This window comes from Homo sapiens, chromosome 18, assembly GCF_000001405.40.
Source record: "Homo sapiens chromosome 18, GRCh38.p14 Primary Assembly".
Lineage (NCBI taxonomy): Eukaryota > Metazoa > Chordata > Mammalia > Primates > Hominidae > Homo > Homo sapiens.
The window spans coordinates 32,534,017-32,550,155 of record NC_000018.10 but is presented as its reverse complement, the minus strand read 5'-3'; the positions used below and the strand labels follow the sequence as shown (position 1 = coordinate 32,550,155).

Here is a 16,139-nt window from a genome sequence, read left to right as displayed (position 1 = left end):
TTGTGGGCAGGAATCATATTCAATTCATCTGTATTTCTCCATACCTAGAATAAAACAGATCCTTGATAAATACTTGGTAAATAAATAAATCTTCTTAATTTGTAGGCTTTGACATTCTAACAGATTTAACGTTTTCTCACTTATCTTGGATACCCACACCACCTTGGCAAAAGATCTCATCCACTATTCCAAAAGATGAACAGTGTATCAATTTGGTATATCAAATACTTATTCTTAAATGTGCCCAAAAATGAATACATTAACTGTGGGTCTAAATTCTGCATCAATCCCTTAAAAAAGTCATAAGGCGTCTCACCACCCTTTCTTATGCCAAATTCAGGCAGTAAGCTTTGCAAAGACTATGGGCTCTGGAGTCAGGCAAATCTGATTTCAGCCCACAGCTCTGGCAGGCCCAGTTCTTTGATTTTGAGCAAGTCACTTGATCTTGCTAGGCCTTGGTTTTCTCAGCTGCAAAATGGTGATATTATGTACAGCATAGGGCTGCTAGGAGGATGAGATACACAAAGTCCCTAGACTGGCTGCCGTCCTAAAGTAGATGCTCAGTAAGTATTAGACCCTTTCTCCTCTTTGGCAGTATAGCAACTGAATCATATTCACTGAAAAAAAAAATTTGAATTTGTAAGAAATGCTCCCCAGAAGCTAAAGGCTTCCTCTGAGGCTTTACTCCTGCAACGTCATCAAGAGCCACCAGGTGGTGGTGGTGCCTGTTAGGGGACCCTAGGTCAGGCGTCCTTCCCAGCAGGGTAATTACCTTCTCAGTGCTAAGCATCAAATTCTATTTCTCATATGCTTCTTTCCATAGTATTTTATATACAACCTTACTAAAATAACAACCTCTACAGATTAAACATAAACCACCCCAACATGTGCATATTAATGATAATATATACAATTTGAAATAAGATTTAATGAAAAAGAAATACTTAGGTACACATCACATAACTTCCTGATTCCCTTAAATGGTTTTTAATTATTTTTTGACTTAATCTAACCTTGATTTTAATTCCCTCACATTACTTGTGATTCATTCTCATATTGGCAGAAGGCTAATAGCTTTTGGACTGTGCTTAACCTTAGAATTTGGCAAAACACTATGGAAAAAGCCCTTTGTCCTTTTCACCTGCTGGGAGATTAAATCCCCTAATTAGCAGGCTTAGAGGAGAGTCACTTCAGCCAGTACTTAAGAAAATCTTGCCCTTTGTCTGCCGTTTCAGAGCTCAGCTGTCTTGGTGCTTCCTGTATTTATCCACGCTGAAATAGAAAATTACTCACCGGTCTCTCCAAGCCCCATGACCATTGACTTCTAATCAAAACCCTGTTCCCAGAGGTCCCCTGGCTCCTGCAAGGGCACCCTGATTCTCCATGCTTGCTAACAAAGCCACTCCACAAGACCACTCTGCTTTCTTTTGAATGCTGATACAGGGTCAGGTTTGGGTTGCTTTGTGTCCTGCAGTTCTTGGCACCCTGTGCCCGTTTAAGCCCTCTGCTTATAGATGTCAAGCATGTTTCCTAAACTTTTAAGCAATTTTGAGTGCTAAAAACAAGTAACTAAAAAAAAAAAAAATTAAGGTGTCATTGTCTTTAGGGCCCTCAAACTGCTCTATGTGATGATGTAATGGTGGATACATGTCATTAAATATTTATCTAAATCCATAGAATGTACAATAGCAAAAGTGGACCCTAATGTAAACTATGGACTCTGGGTGACAATGCGCCAATCAATGAATGTAGGTTCATCAGTTGTAACAAATGCATCACCCTGGTGGGGATGTTGATAGAGGGCGAGGCTGTGCAGGGGCAGGGGAGTAAAGGTACTTTCTCTGTACTTTCCACTCAATTTTGCTATGAACATAAAACTGCTCTTTTAAAAAGTTTTTTTTTAAGAAAACCCTGACAAATAGATCTGAGGAAGGCCACGAGGAGTGGGTTTTTATATTTGTATGTCTGATCATAAAAGCTATAATAAAAGCCCATAAAAAGCAAAAAAAATAAAAATAAAAATAAAATCACGCATGGGTAAAAGGTCTGTTCCAAGTAAAAGACCAGTGGAATTTGATACATTACAGTGTGAAAAGTTCATGCATATGGTTTAATAGTCCACATTGTAACTAACTTTTAAGAAACTATCACTTGTTGAATTCTGTTATAGTCTATGAGAACAGCTACAATTACCTGAAAAAGATATTCAAATACACCTCCTTTTTCCAGCTACCTCTCTCTGTGAGGTCAAATTTTCTTCATATTCTTAAACCAAAATGACAAATTTCTGCAGAATGCAAAAGATATGGGAATCCACGTGTCTTCAATTAAGTCAGATATTGAATAGATTTGTGAGAATATAAAATAATGTCACTCTTGTAACTAATTTTTCTGGTTTTGGAAAATATACTTTCCACAAGAATATTTATGTTAAAATGTAATGGGCTTATTATTTTTAAGTAAATAAATAATTTAAAAATGTGAAAAAAAATCTTTTTTTTTTTTTAATAGTGTCACTGCTCTGACAGTTTCTACACTGTGATGTAGGTCCTGGAGGCGGCTGTGGAGAAGAAAACAGGAGGGTGTGTTTATCAGATTGTTATTAAGCACCCACTCTGTGCCGGTAACTGTTGCTGGACGAGGGGATGAATTAGGCAGATCTGGCCCCTGCCCTTGGAAATCCTGCAGTTGAAACAGAAGGGAAAAAAAATTAAACTAAGCCACCTAATTAATTACTTAATTTCACTGTGATAAATGCAAAGAAGGTGCTCTGAGAGTGGTTCCCAGGGAGCAGCTGGAAAGGGCTATTCCTCTTCCCCGTCATTCATTCTTTCCTTCTTCAACAGCAAAATGTTGAGTAGTTGAGTTAGAGCAGTAGGTATCAGAGCCGGGCACGGTGGCTCACGCCTGTAATCCCAGCACTTTGGGAGGCTGAGGCGGGCGGATCACAAGGTCAGGAGATCGAGACCAGCCTGGCAAACATGGTGAAACTCCGTCTCTACTAAATATATAAAAAATTAGCCAGGCGTGGTGGCAGGCACCTGTAGTCCCAGCTACTCAGGAGGCTGAGGCAGGAGAATGGCCTGAACCCAGGAGGCGGAGCTTGCAGTGAGCCGAGATTGTGCCACTGCACTCCAGCTTGGGCGACAGAGCGAGACTCCATCTCAAAAAAAAAAAAAAAACAGAGCAGTAGGTATCAGTCCCTCACCCGTTCACCACCCCAATCATGTTAAAAGCAGGCCTTTAAGACCCAGATAGCTGAAATGTTACTTCTGTGACCATCTTTGAACTGACACCTGTGCTGACCTCAGCTGGGCCCCTCCAAAGAAGCAATGCTGTAGTTCCAAAGCCATCCAGAAGTCAAGATGGTTCAGCCTCCCCCAGCTGCCCTCAAGCTTCTAATTTATGTACTTGCAAGCCACATGGCAAGCCAGGCAGAAGGCCATCAGACTCTTTGTCTCCACCTCTCTCCTCTGTTCGTTCTTACCTCTCCTTCCCTCCTGCCTTTCTCCAAAACGTCTTTTCATTTGGTGTGCAACAGAGAAGAGGGAGAAATGTAGAGCTATATCACATAATAGGAAATTGTATCTTGAGAGTATTTTCATCAGACTCCGTAATTGTCATCTTTTGAAAAGAACATGTGTAGGGAAATAGACATTCTCATCCATTGTTGGTGAGATGAAAGAACCTTTCAAGACAGTGATCTGCCATCTTCCAACAAAACAAAAGTATCCAAGCCATTTTGACCAAGCCATTCTACTTTTGGAGCGTTTCTTTAAGAAATCAAGAATACATCCATGAGGATATTAATTGCAGCACTATTTAATATAACAAAGAAATAGATAACTCAATGTCCATCAATTAGAGATGGTTAAATTAGGGCTCCTTTCTACAATGAAGTATTATATATTTGTCAAAAGACCAGATGGAGAACTGTATTAACTCAGTGGAAAGAAGGCTATGACACAGAAAGTAAAAACATTATTCTAGATACACTGTAGAACAGTGTTCTAGAATATCTAGAAGATACAGTGTTCTGCAGTGTATCTACTGTATCTAGAATAATCTCACATTATTTAAAAACAGAGTGCTTACGTATGTGTTTGATATGCATTATTAAAAGTCTGGAAGGCTATGCAGAGTAAATTTTACCCCTAAGGAGTAAAATTTAGGAGAAAGGAGCTTTTATTCCCTATATGAGAGAGCAGCACTTTGGGAAGCGAAGGCAGGTGATCAGTTCAGTCCAAGAGTTTGACACCGGCCTGGGCAACATGGGGAAACCCTGTATCTACAAAAAATATGAAAACTTTGCCAGGCTTGGTGATGCATGCCTGTAGTCCCAGCTACTAGGGAGGCTAAGGTAGGAGAATCACTCAAGCCTGGGGAGGTTAAGGCTGCAGTGAGTTGTGATCACATTCACTGCACTGCAGCCTGAGCAATAGAGCAAGACCTTGTCTCAGAGAAATAATAATAATTTCATTTAATTTGACTGTTGCTTATAGTGAGCATGAATTACTTATTAAGGAGAAATTAACAAACCAACATTTAAAAAAAATTTATCTGCTCTAGAACAGGATAGTAATAGTAGACTCGTCGGTCTACTTAACGTAATGTTGATGCTTATTTTATGACAGTTCAGTATTTAATTGAAAACAGCTCCTTTTTTTCAGAGCCTCTCTTTTTCCCTATACTTGGCAGTTCATATAAAATACGTATCTGGAGATTGTAGAGATGGAAAGGTAGAGAAGAAGGCACAGCAAAAGGAAAGGGATTCACAAAGAAAATAAGGACTTATCCAAATTTTTAAAAAGCCATCAAAATTATGTTTGGGGGAAAATTTAAAATAAGGTGAAATATAGATAATGAAAAATGCCAAATTCAAAGATGCATAATTAGTATGACTATTCTGAGAAATAAATGGCCTCTTCCAGCCTCCAAAAAGGATACTGGAGAAAAGTAAACCAAAATGTTAACAATGACAGACTCTGGATGGTATGACTTTAAGAAACGTTTCATTCCTCACATTCTAAACCTTTTTTAATGAATTGATTAGTTGTATCATGTAAACAGTCACACTTTTATTGAAGGCACGCCTATCATCACCCAACATTTTACCCTCCCAAAATACCAACACAAGTACAGGTTGTAACACAAGGCAGAGCTGTGTCTAGTTTTAGTAGAGATGGGGTTTCACCACATTGTTCAGGCTGGTCTCGAACTCCTGACCTCAGGTGATCCACCCACCTCAGCCTCCCAAAGTGCTGGGATTACAGGCATGAGCCACCGTGCCCGGCCCCTAAACTCACTTTTGAAGCCTGGGTATCTTGAGTCTGAGAAGCCCATTAAGTTTTGAGCCTTCCCTTCTCTCTGCATTAGAGCAACAACTTAAAGATTCCTTTATTTTCACAAGGAATACAGTCTAGGGAAGTAAATTTCAATAGGCTGTTTGATCTGTGACTGGGAGACAGAATATAATATTCATTGAAAGTATTCAGTACCTCAGGGTAAGAATCCATAACATAATGTAGATTGTCTTTATTGCTTAAATTTTATTCATAAAGTTGAAGTGAGAAACTGTAGGAGTTCAACAAAAAAATCAATCGCGGCCCCTCAAATCCCTTGCTTTGGATTTACTGAATTTTTTTTTTTTTGGCCAGAAGGGACTCACACCCAGTATTTTCTGGTGAGAATTTATGTTGGCCTGCTGTTCTTGGTTTGGTTTGTTTGCTAACAGTTGCCAGCTGTGCAAGCTCCCTCTATAATTTCTTGTAACCTTTTCTTTTTTTTAAAGAATAGAGCCTCAAATATATGGTTTCATGATAAGGTCTCAAGTTCTCAAGTTCTATGTAAAGTGGAAAATGTTCAGTACCAATGCACATACCAAGGAAGGGTGGGACTGCTTTACTCCCTTTAACCACTTTTAAGTTAGAAAGATGTCCTTCTGTCCCTGTAAGCCAGGTTTCTCTGAAACTGTCACAGACTCAAGAGAAGAGATGCTAGTCATTTTTTAACTTTGAAATCTATGAGTAAAAATAGCCCCGTCCCTAGATTCTTCTTCTTGAAAGCTTATCAAAAAGGGACTTCTGATCCCTAATCTTATCCTTTAATTCTCGATCACTGCATTTGATAAATAATCTATCTTGACAGTAGATCTGAAGAACTACGGGTAAGTGTTCCTTTACCTAAGAAGTGCTAGTCCTTTTTAATCTAAGTTTCTCCTGTTATCAGAATTCAAAATGTTATTGTTGCTTACTTTGCTTTTATAAAATATTTGACTTCTAGTAGCCCAAGTAGAGAAGAACTTATACTGATATGAGCCATGAGTTTAATATAAATATATGGTTTTTCTTTTAAGTTTTGCAGTTATTCGATAATTTTATAAATGAGGAAACTGAAGCTCAAAGATGTATGTAACTTGTGCAAGGAGAGGCCGCACTGGCGTTAATTGTAGAGTCAATTTCAAGTCTGTTTCCATCAAAAGTTCATGTTTTTTAGTTGTACCATGTTGTTTCTAACAACATAATACAAGAAAACCAATATTAATTGGCCACTTATGATACAACAGATGTTTTCAAGATATTCTTTTCATCCATAACCAAAACCTATTCTACTAGTAGTTATCCCCATTTTTATGGAAAAAAACTGGGGCTTAGAGAGGTTAAAAATGTGCCTATGACATAGTTTGCAGGAGGCAAATCCAGGATTGAACCCCAAGTCTATTTGTCTCCAGTGCCTCTACTTTCTATGCTATCATATATAGCATTTTACACGAATTCACTCATAAGAACAACTTCGAGGTGGGTACTATTATCATTCCCATTTTATAGATGAGAAAAATCAAGTTTCGAGACATTAACTAACTTGTCCCCCAAGTCTAGTTAGAGTGTAGGAAAAAGAGATTAAGTCCCAGGCCGGCTGACTTTGGCATTCTCAATCATTTAATGGACTATCCCCTCAGAAACACTTTTTAAGAATCAATGTTCTAACAAAAGCAAGAGAAATTTTCTTAGGTGTGTAAAATACAAAATGTAATTTTAAACACAAGTCTAGCTTAGAGAATGCTCCTCCAAAGCTGGGTGCGGTGGCCCACGCCTGTAATCCCAGCACTTTGGGAGGCTGAGGCAGGCGGATCATGAGGTCAGGAGATCGAAACCATCCTGGCTAACACGGTGAAACCCTGTCTCTACTAAAACATAGAAAAAATTAGCCAGGCGTGGTGGCGGGCGCCTGTAATCCCAGCTACTCAGGAAGCTGAGGCAGGAGAATGGCATGAACCCGGGAGGCAGAGCTTGCAGTGAGCTGAGATTGTGCCACTGCACTCGAACCTGGGCGACAGAGCGAGACTCCGTCATAAAAAAAAAAAAAAAAAGAATGCTCCTCCACAAATACCTCATACAAATTACTAATTAATGTTCCCAGAAGTTCCCATTAGTATATTGTCTCTCATTCCTCCTAACTATTGCATTAGTGAAACCTTGCAACTTCAGGGGAAACGGAGGGCAGCTCTGGAGTTGTATAAACAAGGACATTGTGCAATGAACCCTGTGGGTGCTGGTAAGGCATTTAGTATTCAGTCCCTCTGCATTTTAAGATTAGCTTACTCATCCTCAGGATTCTGGGTCAGGAAAATGCTCTGCCAAATGAAAGAATGGGCCATCCTTCATAGGTGAGGCCAGAGCCACTGACCCAGCATCAGGAGGGCATGGCTTTGCAATTGCCAGTTCAGTAGTGGTGATGAATTTGCACGTGTCTCTATGTGAGCTCTCGGCTCCTCTGGCCCATTGTGAGTAATGACAAGTACTTCGGAGGGCAATGGGATTCAAGGGCCATTGTTGTCATGATATACGAGATTAGCAACAATTTAAAACCTTAGCTACCTGGGAGCCTAAAACAAAGAAATAGAGCAGGATTTCATGCAAACTTAAACCCCATAAATGTGTGACCTAATTTCTCTCCAGCTTTGTCTGTGCAATAAAGGGAAGAGACAAGAAACTATTACAAGATGCTATGTTTTTAATGTCAGCAATGGCTCATTTTTCCAGGAATAGGATAAAACAGAACTCGAGCAGTGTACCATAAGCCTAGTCTAAGACAAGTTCTTTTTATGGATATGTGTTAGATTTATATACCTCCAACTTCTATGCTTTATAACAAGGCCATCCAGCATGAATCCCCTTATAGTGAGACAGATGCAATATTTCCTTCGAGTGGGAAGCAAGGAGGCAGAGGAGGGATGGCCGGCCTTATTATGCAAAGAAGCTATAATAAAGCTGCTTTTCAGCACTCCAAGTGGCCCCTTGAGAAGATGAGTAGTGAAGGAGAGCATGCAAAGTGCTATATGTCTATTTATCTAATAAAACCTGATTACAAGCAACAGGTGCACTAGCATATAAACTACCAAGGAGTCATCAAGAAATTCTGAAGAAAGCTGCATCAAATTGCAAATGATATGACTTTCATCTAATGATAGGTATTAATTATACAGAGAAGACTGTGATAGGCCCTTAAAATGGGTGTTTGCATCCTCATTATTCAGTATTTCATGTCATGATGATAAAGCAATAATGACAGAATAATAAACAAGCTTCTTATTTATTTATTTGCCTCATTGAGAACGAGACCTTGAAAGTCAAATCTCAAAGTTTAGAGGAAGTGGGTAAAAGACTTACAAAGACACCTGCAAAAGGTGAGCAGAGATGTCAGGGATGAGAAGAATAAAGAAGAGACCAACCAATAGATAGATGGGGGGATAAAACCAATAGATAGATGTTTTTCTCTATGATAAACACATTCCTAAAATTTAATCAGAATTAAGATGGCAATTTTCCCTTTTAGGTAAGAGCAGCATTTTGTTGATGTGTTTGAAAATGCCTAAACCCTTTGAAAGAACAATAATTCCTTTAGGTGACATGGTAGAGGGGCCGTGGTGATACTGAGGGGAAGGAACATATAAGGTCCCCTGTCTTCTATGCAACAGCACCTGTCACTTTTATGATTGCTAAAAGCTCTACCAGCTCATGAGGCCCTAGTAGATCACACAGCCAGGAAGTGGGAGATGAAGAGTGGGTAGGAAAGAGCTGGAAAAGCTGGAAGGACTGAGATTGCTTGCAAGGAGAGAAATGAAGGCAGGAAGTGGCGGGCGGAGAGGCAGGGAGAGTGGTACAGGGGAGAACACTGGAAGCAAACCAAACCACCACCACACATGTGCCAAGGGATGGCCACAACCTTCATCATGATAATTTACTAAATAGTGCCTCATAAAGATTAAGGAAAATGGGGAGAGGAATGTGGTGAGTTGGGAGAGATGGGGAGTCACAAAGATTGACTACCTGGAATCCTAAAATAACTCTCTCAGAAGAAACTCTGCCCAAAATGCCCCATTTGGTTTAACACAAATAAACCTGCACCCCGACACCATCCAGCCAGCCTCCTTCCTGCCTGCATGCCTGCCTCTTCAGTATTTCTCAATGCTTTGAACTCTCATCAGTTGAATGTTTTGATGTATTTTACGAAACATTGGAGAGTCTTGATTGCTTATGACTCAACTAATCTTGTCCTAATGAAGACAAGGAAAATATTTTTCTTTAAAGAAAAATAAAGTGACCTAATTGTGTATCCATGGTAATTTTTATTTGAATATTATCTCTGGAGACAAAGGCAGAGGAGTCATTTTGGGTGTTTACAAATTATGTTATTTGCATAAGGATCTAATCTCACCTAGTTTATCTGGTTATTGATATGGGCATGGAAAACCAAACTGGAAAAGATAGATGATGGATGAATGTGGAAAATCCATTAAGTTAGATCCCACTAATTCAGAAATGGTGATATATCCAGCCTTGAGAAAACGTACCTCCCATTTATTTAAACAGTAGGCAAATTAATAATGTAAAAATAGTAGAAGAAAATACTGTTTGACCTACTAAAGCAAACAATACCTCACCTTACTCAGATATCAAGTACTATACATGTCTAAGTTTCAAATAGGAAACTCATAGCCTATTTTTCATGAACACGGTCATGAAATAAGCCAGTGGCAGACTTTTTCTTTTAAAATTTGGACCAATCTCTTATTTATAAAGTAAATAAAAGCGTAGCTAGAATGCTTTGTCAACTTAAAAGGACACTCTCAATTTACATACAAGATGTATGTTGCTATGTTCTAAAATTAAATTTGCATTTACCTACTAGTTATCTTATTTCTGGATCCTGGGACACTTTATCCCAAGAAACAGAGTCACTTTGTTCAGCAGACTCCAAAGTTCCCTGATCTTTGGTGAGATGACTGCAGAATAAAAGACTTAATGATTGTCTGGAACACTGGTTTTTATGTGTACATGGAGTATTTTCACAAAACAGGTGTCAAGATGATTCAGGGCGATTATATCTTCTGAGTAGGAGGAGAACAAGGAGAACAGAGATGTGACACTATCACATTCACATTCCTTGATCCATTTTCACATCTTAAATATTTTAAAAAGCTGGGAGATCATTTTCTTTTTGTTTTTTGTTTTGTTTTGTTTTTGAGATGTAGTCACCCAGGCTGGAGTGCAACGGCGCAACATTGGCTCATTGCAACCTCCACGTCCCAGCTTCAAGTGATTCTCCTGTCTCATCCTCCTGAGTAGCTGGGATTACAGGTGCCCGCCACCACACCTGGCTAATTTTTGTATTTTTAGTACAGACAGAGTTTCACCACGTGGGCCAGGCTGGTCTCGAACTCCTGACCTCAGGTGATCCACCACCTTGGCCTCCCAAAGTGCTGGGATTACAGGCATGAGCCATTGTGTCCGGCCAAAAGCTGGGAGATCATTGGTAAAACCTGTCACTCACTCTATCTAAATTCCACAGGAACCTACTGGCTTATTTAGACTTTGGAAGATATGTATGATAGCTACAAGTTCTCCCTGAAATACTTCAAATATGAAAAGTCAAGAAGGGAAGCCAAGGTCCTTCCTCTTTTCACAAAATTTGCCTTGACTCACTCACCTATGTTCATTGATTCATTGGTTCCATGAATACTTACTGGGTCCTATTACATATACAGTAATTAGAAAAAGTGAAGATTTAGATTCCCTTCCTCCTAAAGTATGTATAGTATGGAGGTTCTGGGGTTAGGGGTAGCACTTCGAGCAAGATTTGAATGGAAGTAAACATAAAACATTAAGAAAAATAGAAAAACAGGCACATTTTCTATCTCTTCTTAAAAGAAGAAGCAAAATTGAGTAGAAGGAGAGAAAAATCATTTCCTAGGAGGAGACTTGAGAAAGTATTTGGAGAATATGGTGGTAGTTGAGGTGGATTTGCAAAATTGTTTTCAGCATGACACGAAAGTGAACTGTCCAGGAGAGAGTAACTTGAGGAGCTAAGAAATTGACATGGAAAACTAAAAATATAGGGTGATGTTAAAATCATAACTTGGGATTTAGGTACATGAAAGGAAATATTAGCAAAGACTTTGGCAAGGTAGAATAGGCCATTTATTCAACAGACATTTGTCAAAAAGTCTGCTATGTACCAGACACTCTACTAAGCACTGGGAATAAAAAGTTGGTTAAAGACTTTTCTACCGATAGTAATCCCGTTAGACTAACAGCACTGGCGTCACCTGGGTCTTATTAGGAAGGAATCAGATCCCACTCAACATCTAATGAGTCAGAATATGCATTTTAACAAAATCCCTAGGTGATTCCTACCAACCTTAAGTTTAGGAACTACTGACGTAATACATTGTTCGTATTTAAGGAGCTTACAGATTATTGGAGGAGACAAGCAAACCTGTAAATGCAGTGTACTATGATAAATGCTGTGAGAGAAGATGGGGAAGCATGCTGAAAAGCAAGTCAAACAGGGGGAAATGTCAAAGGAGGGAGAAAAAGAATACAGTTGTGAACCTATATTACAAATGCAGCACAGCTGTGCCAGTATCGTCTAACTGAAGCCATTTACCAATTGATAGAACATTCATTTTATTTATTGTTTTTTTTTTTAGAGACAGGGTCTTGCTGTCACCTAAGCTGGAGTGCAATGGTGTGATCGTAGCTTACTGCAGCCTCCAACTACTGGGCTCAAGCAATCCTCCTGCCTCAGCCTTCCAGGTAGCTAGGACTACAGGCTAGCATCACCATGCCCAGCTAATTAAAACAATTTGTGTGTGGGGGTGAGGGGGTGGGGTTGGTAGAAATGAGGTCTCACTTTTCTGCCCAGGCTGGTCTCAAACTCCTGGACTCAAGTGGTCTTCCCAATTTGGCCTCCCAAAGTGCTGGGATTACAGGCATGAGCCACTGCACTCAGCCAATTTTTCTTGATTGCCTTTGTGTACCAAGTTCTATTAGTTCAATTATTTTATTTAATCCTTCACTTCCACTTGTTTGGTTCAAGGCACCATCATCTCTTGCTTACAGGATGTGTAAGCCTCAGCCTTAGCTGGCTGATAAATACCACCCATTCTCCTCCCCACTAGTGTATTTTGCTGTAGCCCGAACAATCTTTTCAAAACCTGAATCTAATTTTGCCATCCACCTGTTTAAAGCCTTCAATAGCTCCCTATTGCTTCACTCCTCAACATGCTTTATAAAGCTCCAGTGATCCCTCTCCCACTGCATCTCCCTCTCAGCACTCCTGAGTGCTCTCCATTCAACCAGACCTTTTTTCAGTCCTGTGTACTCTTTACACTGCCTCCTGCCATAGACAATCTAAACACGTCGCTCCCTCTGCTTAAACACGCTTCTGTTTTTCTCTTATCCACGCTAAGTCTGGGACATCCCTCAGATCTCCATGTAAAAAACTGTCCACAGGAGCAGCCTTGCCTGACCTCTCTGATGAGGTTACATCTCCCTGTTGGAGGATTGCTCGGTCACCCTTTTCATAACTGCAATGTTAATTACTTGTGGGATGAACTGACTGTCTCACCCACCAATTAAGCTTGAACTTCCAGCAAGGACCAAGCACCTCATCTGGTTTTGCTCACCACTTTTTCCTTAGGATAGTGCTGGTCCTTAGTAACTTCTCAATATTTGTTTGTTTAATCAACCACCATACAGATTAGATTTTAGTTAGAAACGCTGATGGTCATATTTTGACAAAAAGTCAGCAGTGTGAGATGCTTCAGAGAGGTTTAGTGGACTGAGCACTAAGAAATAATATATTTTGTGACTAGAAGATCGCTGATAATGGCTAAGTAATTTCAGCAACATCACCAAATCGGATAAATGGTGACGAAATGGAGGCCCAAATGTAGACAACCTGATTAGCAATGAAGAAGAAACAAGGATTTAGAGAGAAGCTCAAAAGAGGTAACAAGGTCAAAGGAAGGGATGATTTTAGAGTAAGGAAGGCTTAGGCATATGTGTTGGAAGCAGAAAGAGTAAGCATAGAACATAAGATTGAAGGGAAGAAAGAAGGTATGTAACTGATGAACAAGACAAGAGAGAACAAGGTTAACACCCCATGTGAGAAAGCACCCTTCAAAAGAGACTAGCACATCTTACTTTGAAACATGAGGGAAAGAGATAAAGATGGGTTAAAATATAGAATTGGTTTTTTGGTTTTGTTTGTTTTTTGTTTGTTTTTTGGGGTTTGGTTTGGTTTGTTTTGAGACAGGGTGTCATTCTGTTGCCCAGGCTGGAGTGCAGTGGTGCAATGATGCCTCACTGCAGCCTCGCCCTCCTGGGCTCAGCGATTCTCCCTACTAAGCCTCCTCAGGAGCTGGGACTGCAGGTGTGCCCCACCATGCCCTGCTAATGTTTGTATTTTTGGTAGAGATGAGAATTTCGCCATGTTTCCCGGCTGGTCTCAAATTCCTGGGCTCAAGCAATCCACCCTCTTCAGCATCCCAAAGTGTTGGGACTATAGGCATGAGCCACTGTGCCCCACCAAAATATAGAAATGTTACTCAGGAGGCAGAGGTTGCAGTGAGCCGAGATCGTGCCACTGCACTCCACCCTGGGCAACAGAGTGAGACTCCATCTGAAAAAAAGAATAACAACAACAAAAAAAAACAAATTTTGAGTGTGAGAAAATAGATGACCTTGAAGAGTCTCTCTCATGATCTCTATCACCCTCCTTCCAGTTTGTTTTTTGACATTCCTTGAGGATAGAATGATGGTTCACTACACAGTCCTCCTTATTCTCATTTTGACCTTCATATTTTTTTCTCTGCTTCTCTTCTTTAAAAGGTCATTCTCTCTACTTATTACCCTTGTCATCACTGGTAATCAACACACAAGAAACTCTCTCACCTTCTAAGACTTCAGCCCTAGTTCCCAGTCATCCACTTTGCCTTAACCTATGGACTGCATAGTGCATATAATGATCCTTTCAACGCAATGGACTAAAACTTCCCCAACTAAAACCTCTACTGAAACTGTTCATCATTCATTTTCATTAAGCAAATAAATACTTATTAAACACCTTCTCTGCTCCAGGATCTATGCTAGGGTTTGAAAATACATAGGTGAATAAAATATGGCCCCTGTCTTCAATGAGCTTACAGTCTAGCATATGAAGAGAATGATTTTTAGTGATAAAAAGTGATAGATAACATAAAGTATATAGGGCCAAGGGCGGTAGGTTGGCAAATTGTATCTTGGAGGTCTCAGGAAAGACTTCAGAGAAAGTAGCCTAATATATGATGTTTAGTCCCAGAGACTTGAAGGCAGAAATTGGGGTCACCCAGGTTTCAGGTTGAGAACACGAGGGCTCACCAGGAAGTGTCAGAATTCATGCATTCAATAAACATTCAGTGGGCACCAATGAGCGGCAGGCACTGTGCAAAGATGATACCCAACATGAACCCACTCACAGGCTAACAGTCTGCTTTGATCCTCAGGAAAATTGTGGAGCAACTCAAATTTGTCCATCACTACCTCCATTTCTGAATCTTTTGCACTCCTTATTCATGGAGCTCTTCTTCCTCACCTCCGCAACGTCCATTGATATTCAGGAAGTCAGCTGGGGGAAGAATATAGTTGCCCATGGTACTAAGTAAAAGCCATTTGTCTATGTCCAGCCTTTGAAATCCATCGCCAACAACAAAGCAAAGGCAGTAGCACTCCCACTTATCTCTCTCAAAGAGTTTTAGGCTTAATAAATAATAATGAAGATGACTTATTAGTGCAAGTAGCACTTATTGAACAATTAACAGTGTTCCAAGCTTTGAGAACAGTGTTTTAGAGGCATTATATTTTTTAATTCACATAAGAATTCTATGATGTAAGAATAATGATTTTACAGAAAAGAAAACTAAGCGTCATGTTGCTAGTAAATAGTGCCTCAGACTTCCCTGTTTATGGCTTTTCTTCTTCCAGGCAATCAATCAAGTTCATCTTAACTGGATTTCATGTATAAATTATGTTGAAGCAAAGAACTGGCTCAGGCCTTAATTAGAACAAGCCCTCTCTAGATGTTTCTCTACTTCAAAGTGTTTATTAACAGATACAGAATTCACTAATGTTGTCAATAGAGGTATTTTAGATTACAGGGGTCTTCCTACCACCCTTCAAATAATCCTAGGTATATAACCCCAGTGGATCTGCCCATCCTACCTTAGAACTGGCCCTTGTGCTACAGTTTCAGTCGCTATAAGTATCACAGACCTATCATCTGTTTTTATTATGACTAACCACATAAAATGTTTAATGGATTTTTAATAGATTTCAAAGGGTTTTTTTTCTGTCTAGCTCTCCGTAATTGCTGCTTTTGTTACTCAAGCAACTACTTTGACATTCTACAGTTGTTCATTGTTAAGACATGAGCCGCTTGTTATTTTATTCCACCTAATGAATACTGTAGCAGGCAGAATGGTCTCCCAAAGATGTCCACACCCTAATCTCTAGTACCTGTGAATGTGGTAACTTGTGTGGCAAAAGGGACATTGCAGATGTGATAAAGTGGAAGATCTTGTGACAGGAGATTATCCTAGATTAGTTGTGTGCACCCAAGGTAATCACAAGCATCCTTATAAGTGAAATGAAAAGGCAAGAGGATCAGAGTCACAGAGATGTGAAGATACTGCACCGCTGGCTTTGAAAGTAAAGGAAAGCGGCCGGGCGCGGTGGCTCACGCCTGTAATCCCAACACTTCGGGAGGCCAAGGCAGGCGGATCACCCAAGGTAGGTGTTCAAGACCAGCCTGGCCAA

At 39.9% G+C, this 16,139-nt stretch overlaps 1 annotated feature.

Moving 5' to 3' along the window:
* Positions 1,068–1,621: an enhancer, noted in NCBI's record as "OCT4-NANOG hESC enhancer chr18:30128498-30129051 (GRCh37/hg19 assembly coordinates)". NCBI's record gives its function as "activates a minimal SCP1, AML or CMV promoter by ChIP-STARR-seq in primed H9 embryonic stem cells {active_cell/tissue: H9 hESC(primed)}" and the evidence as "EXISTENCE:reporter gene assay evidence [ECO:0000049][PMID:30033119]".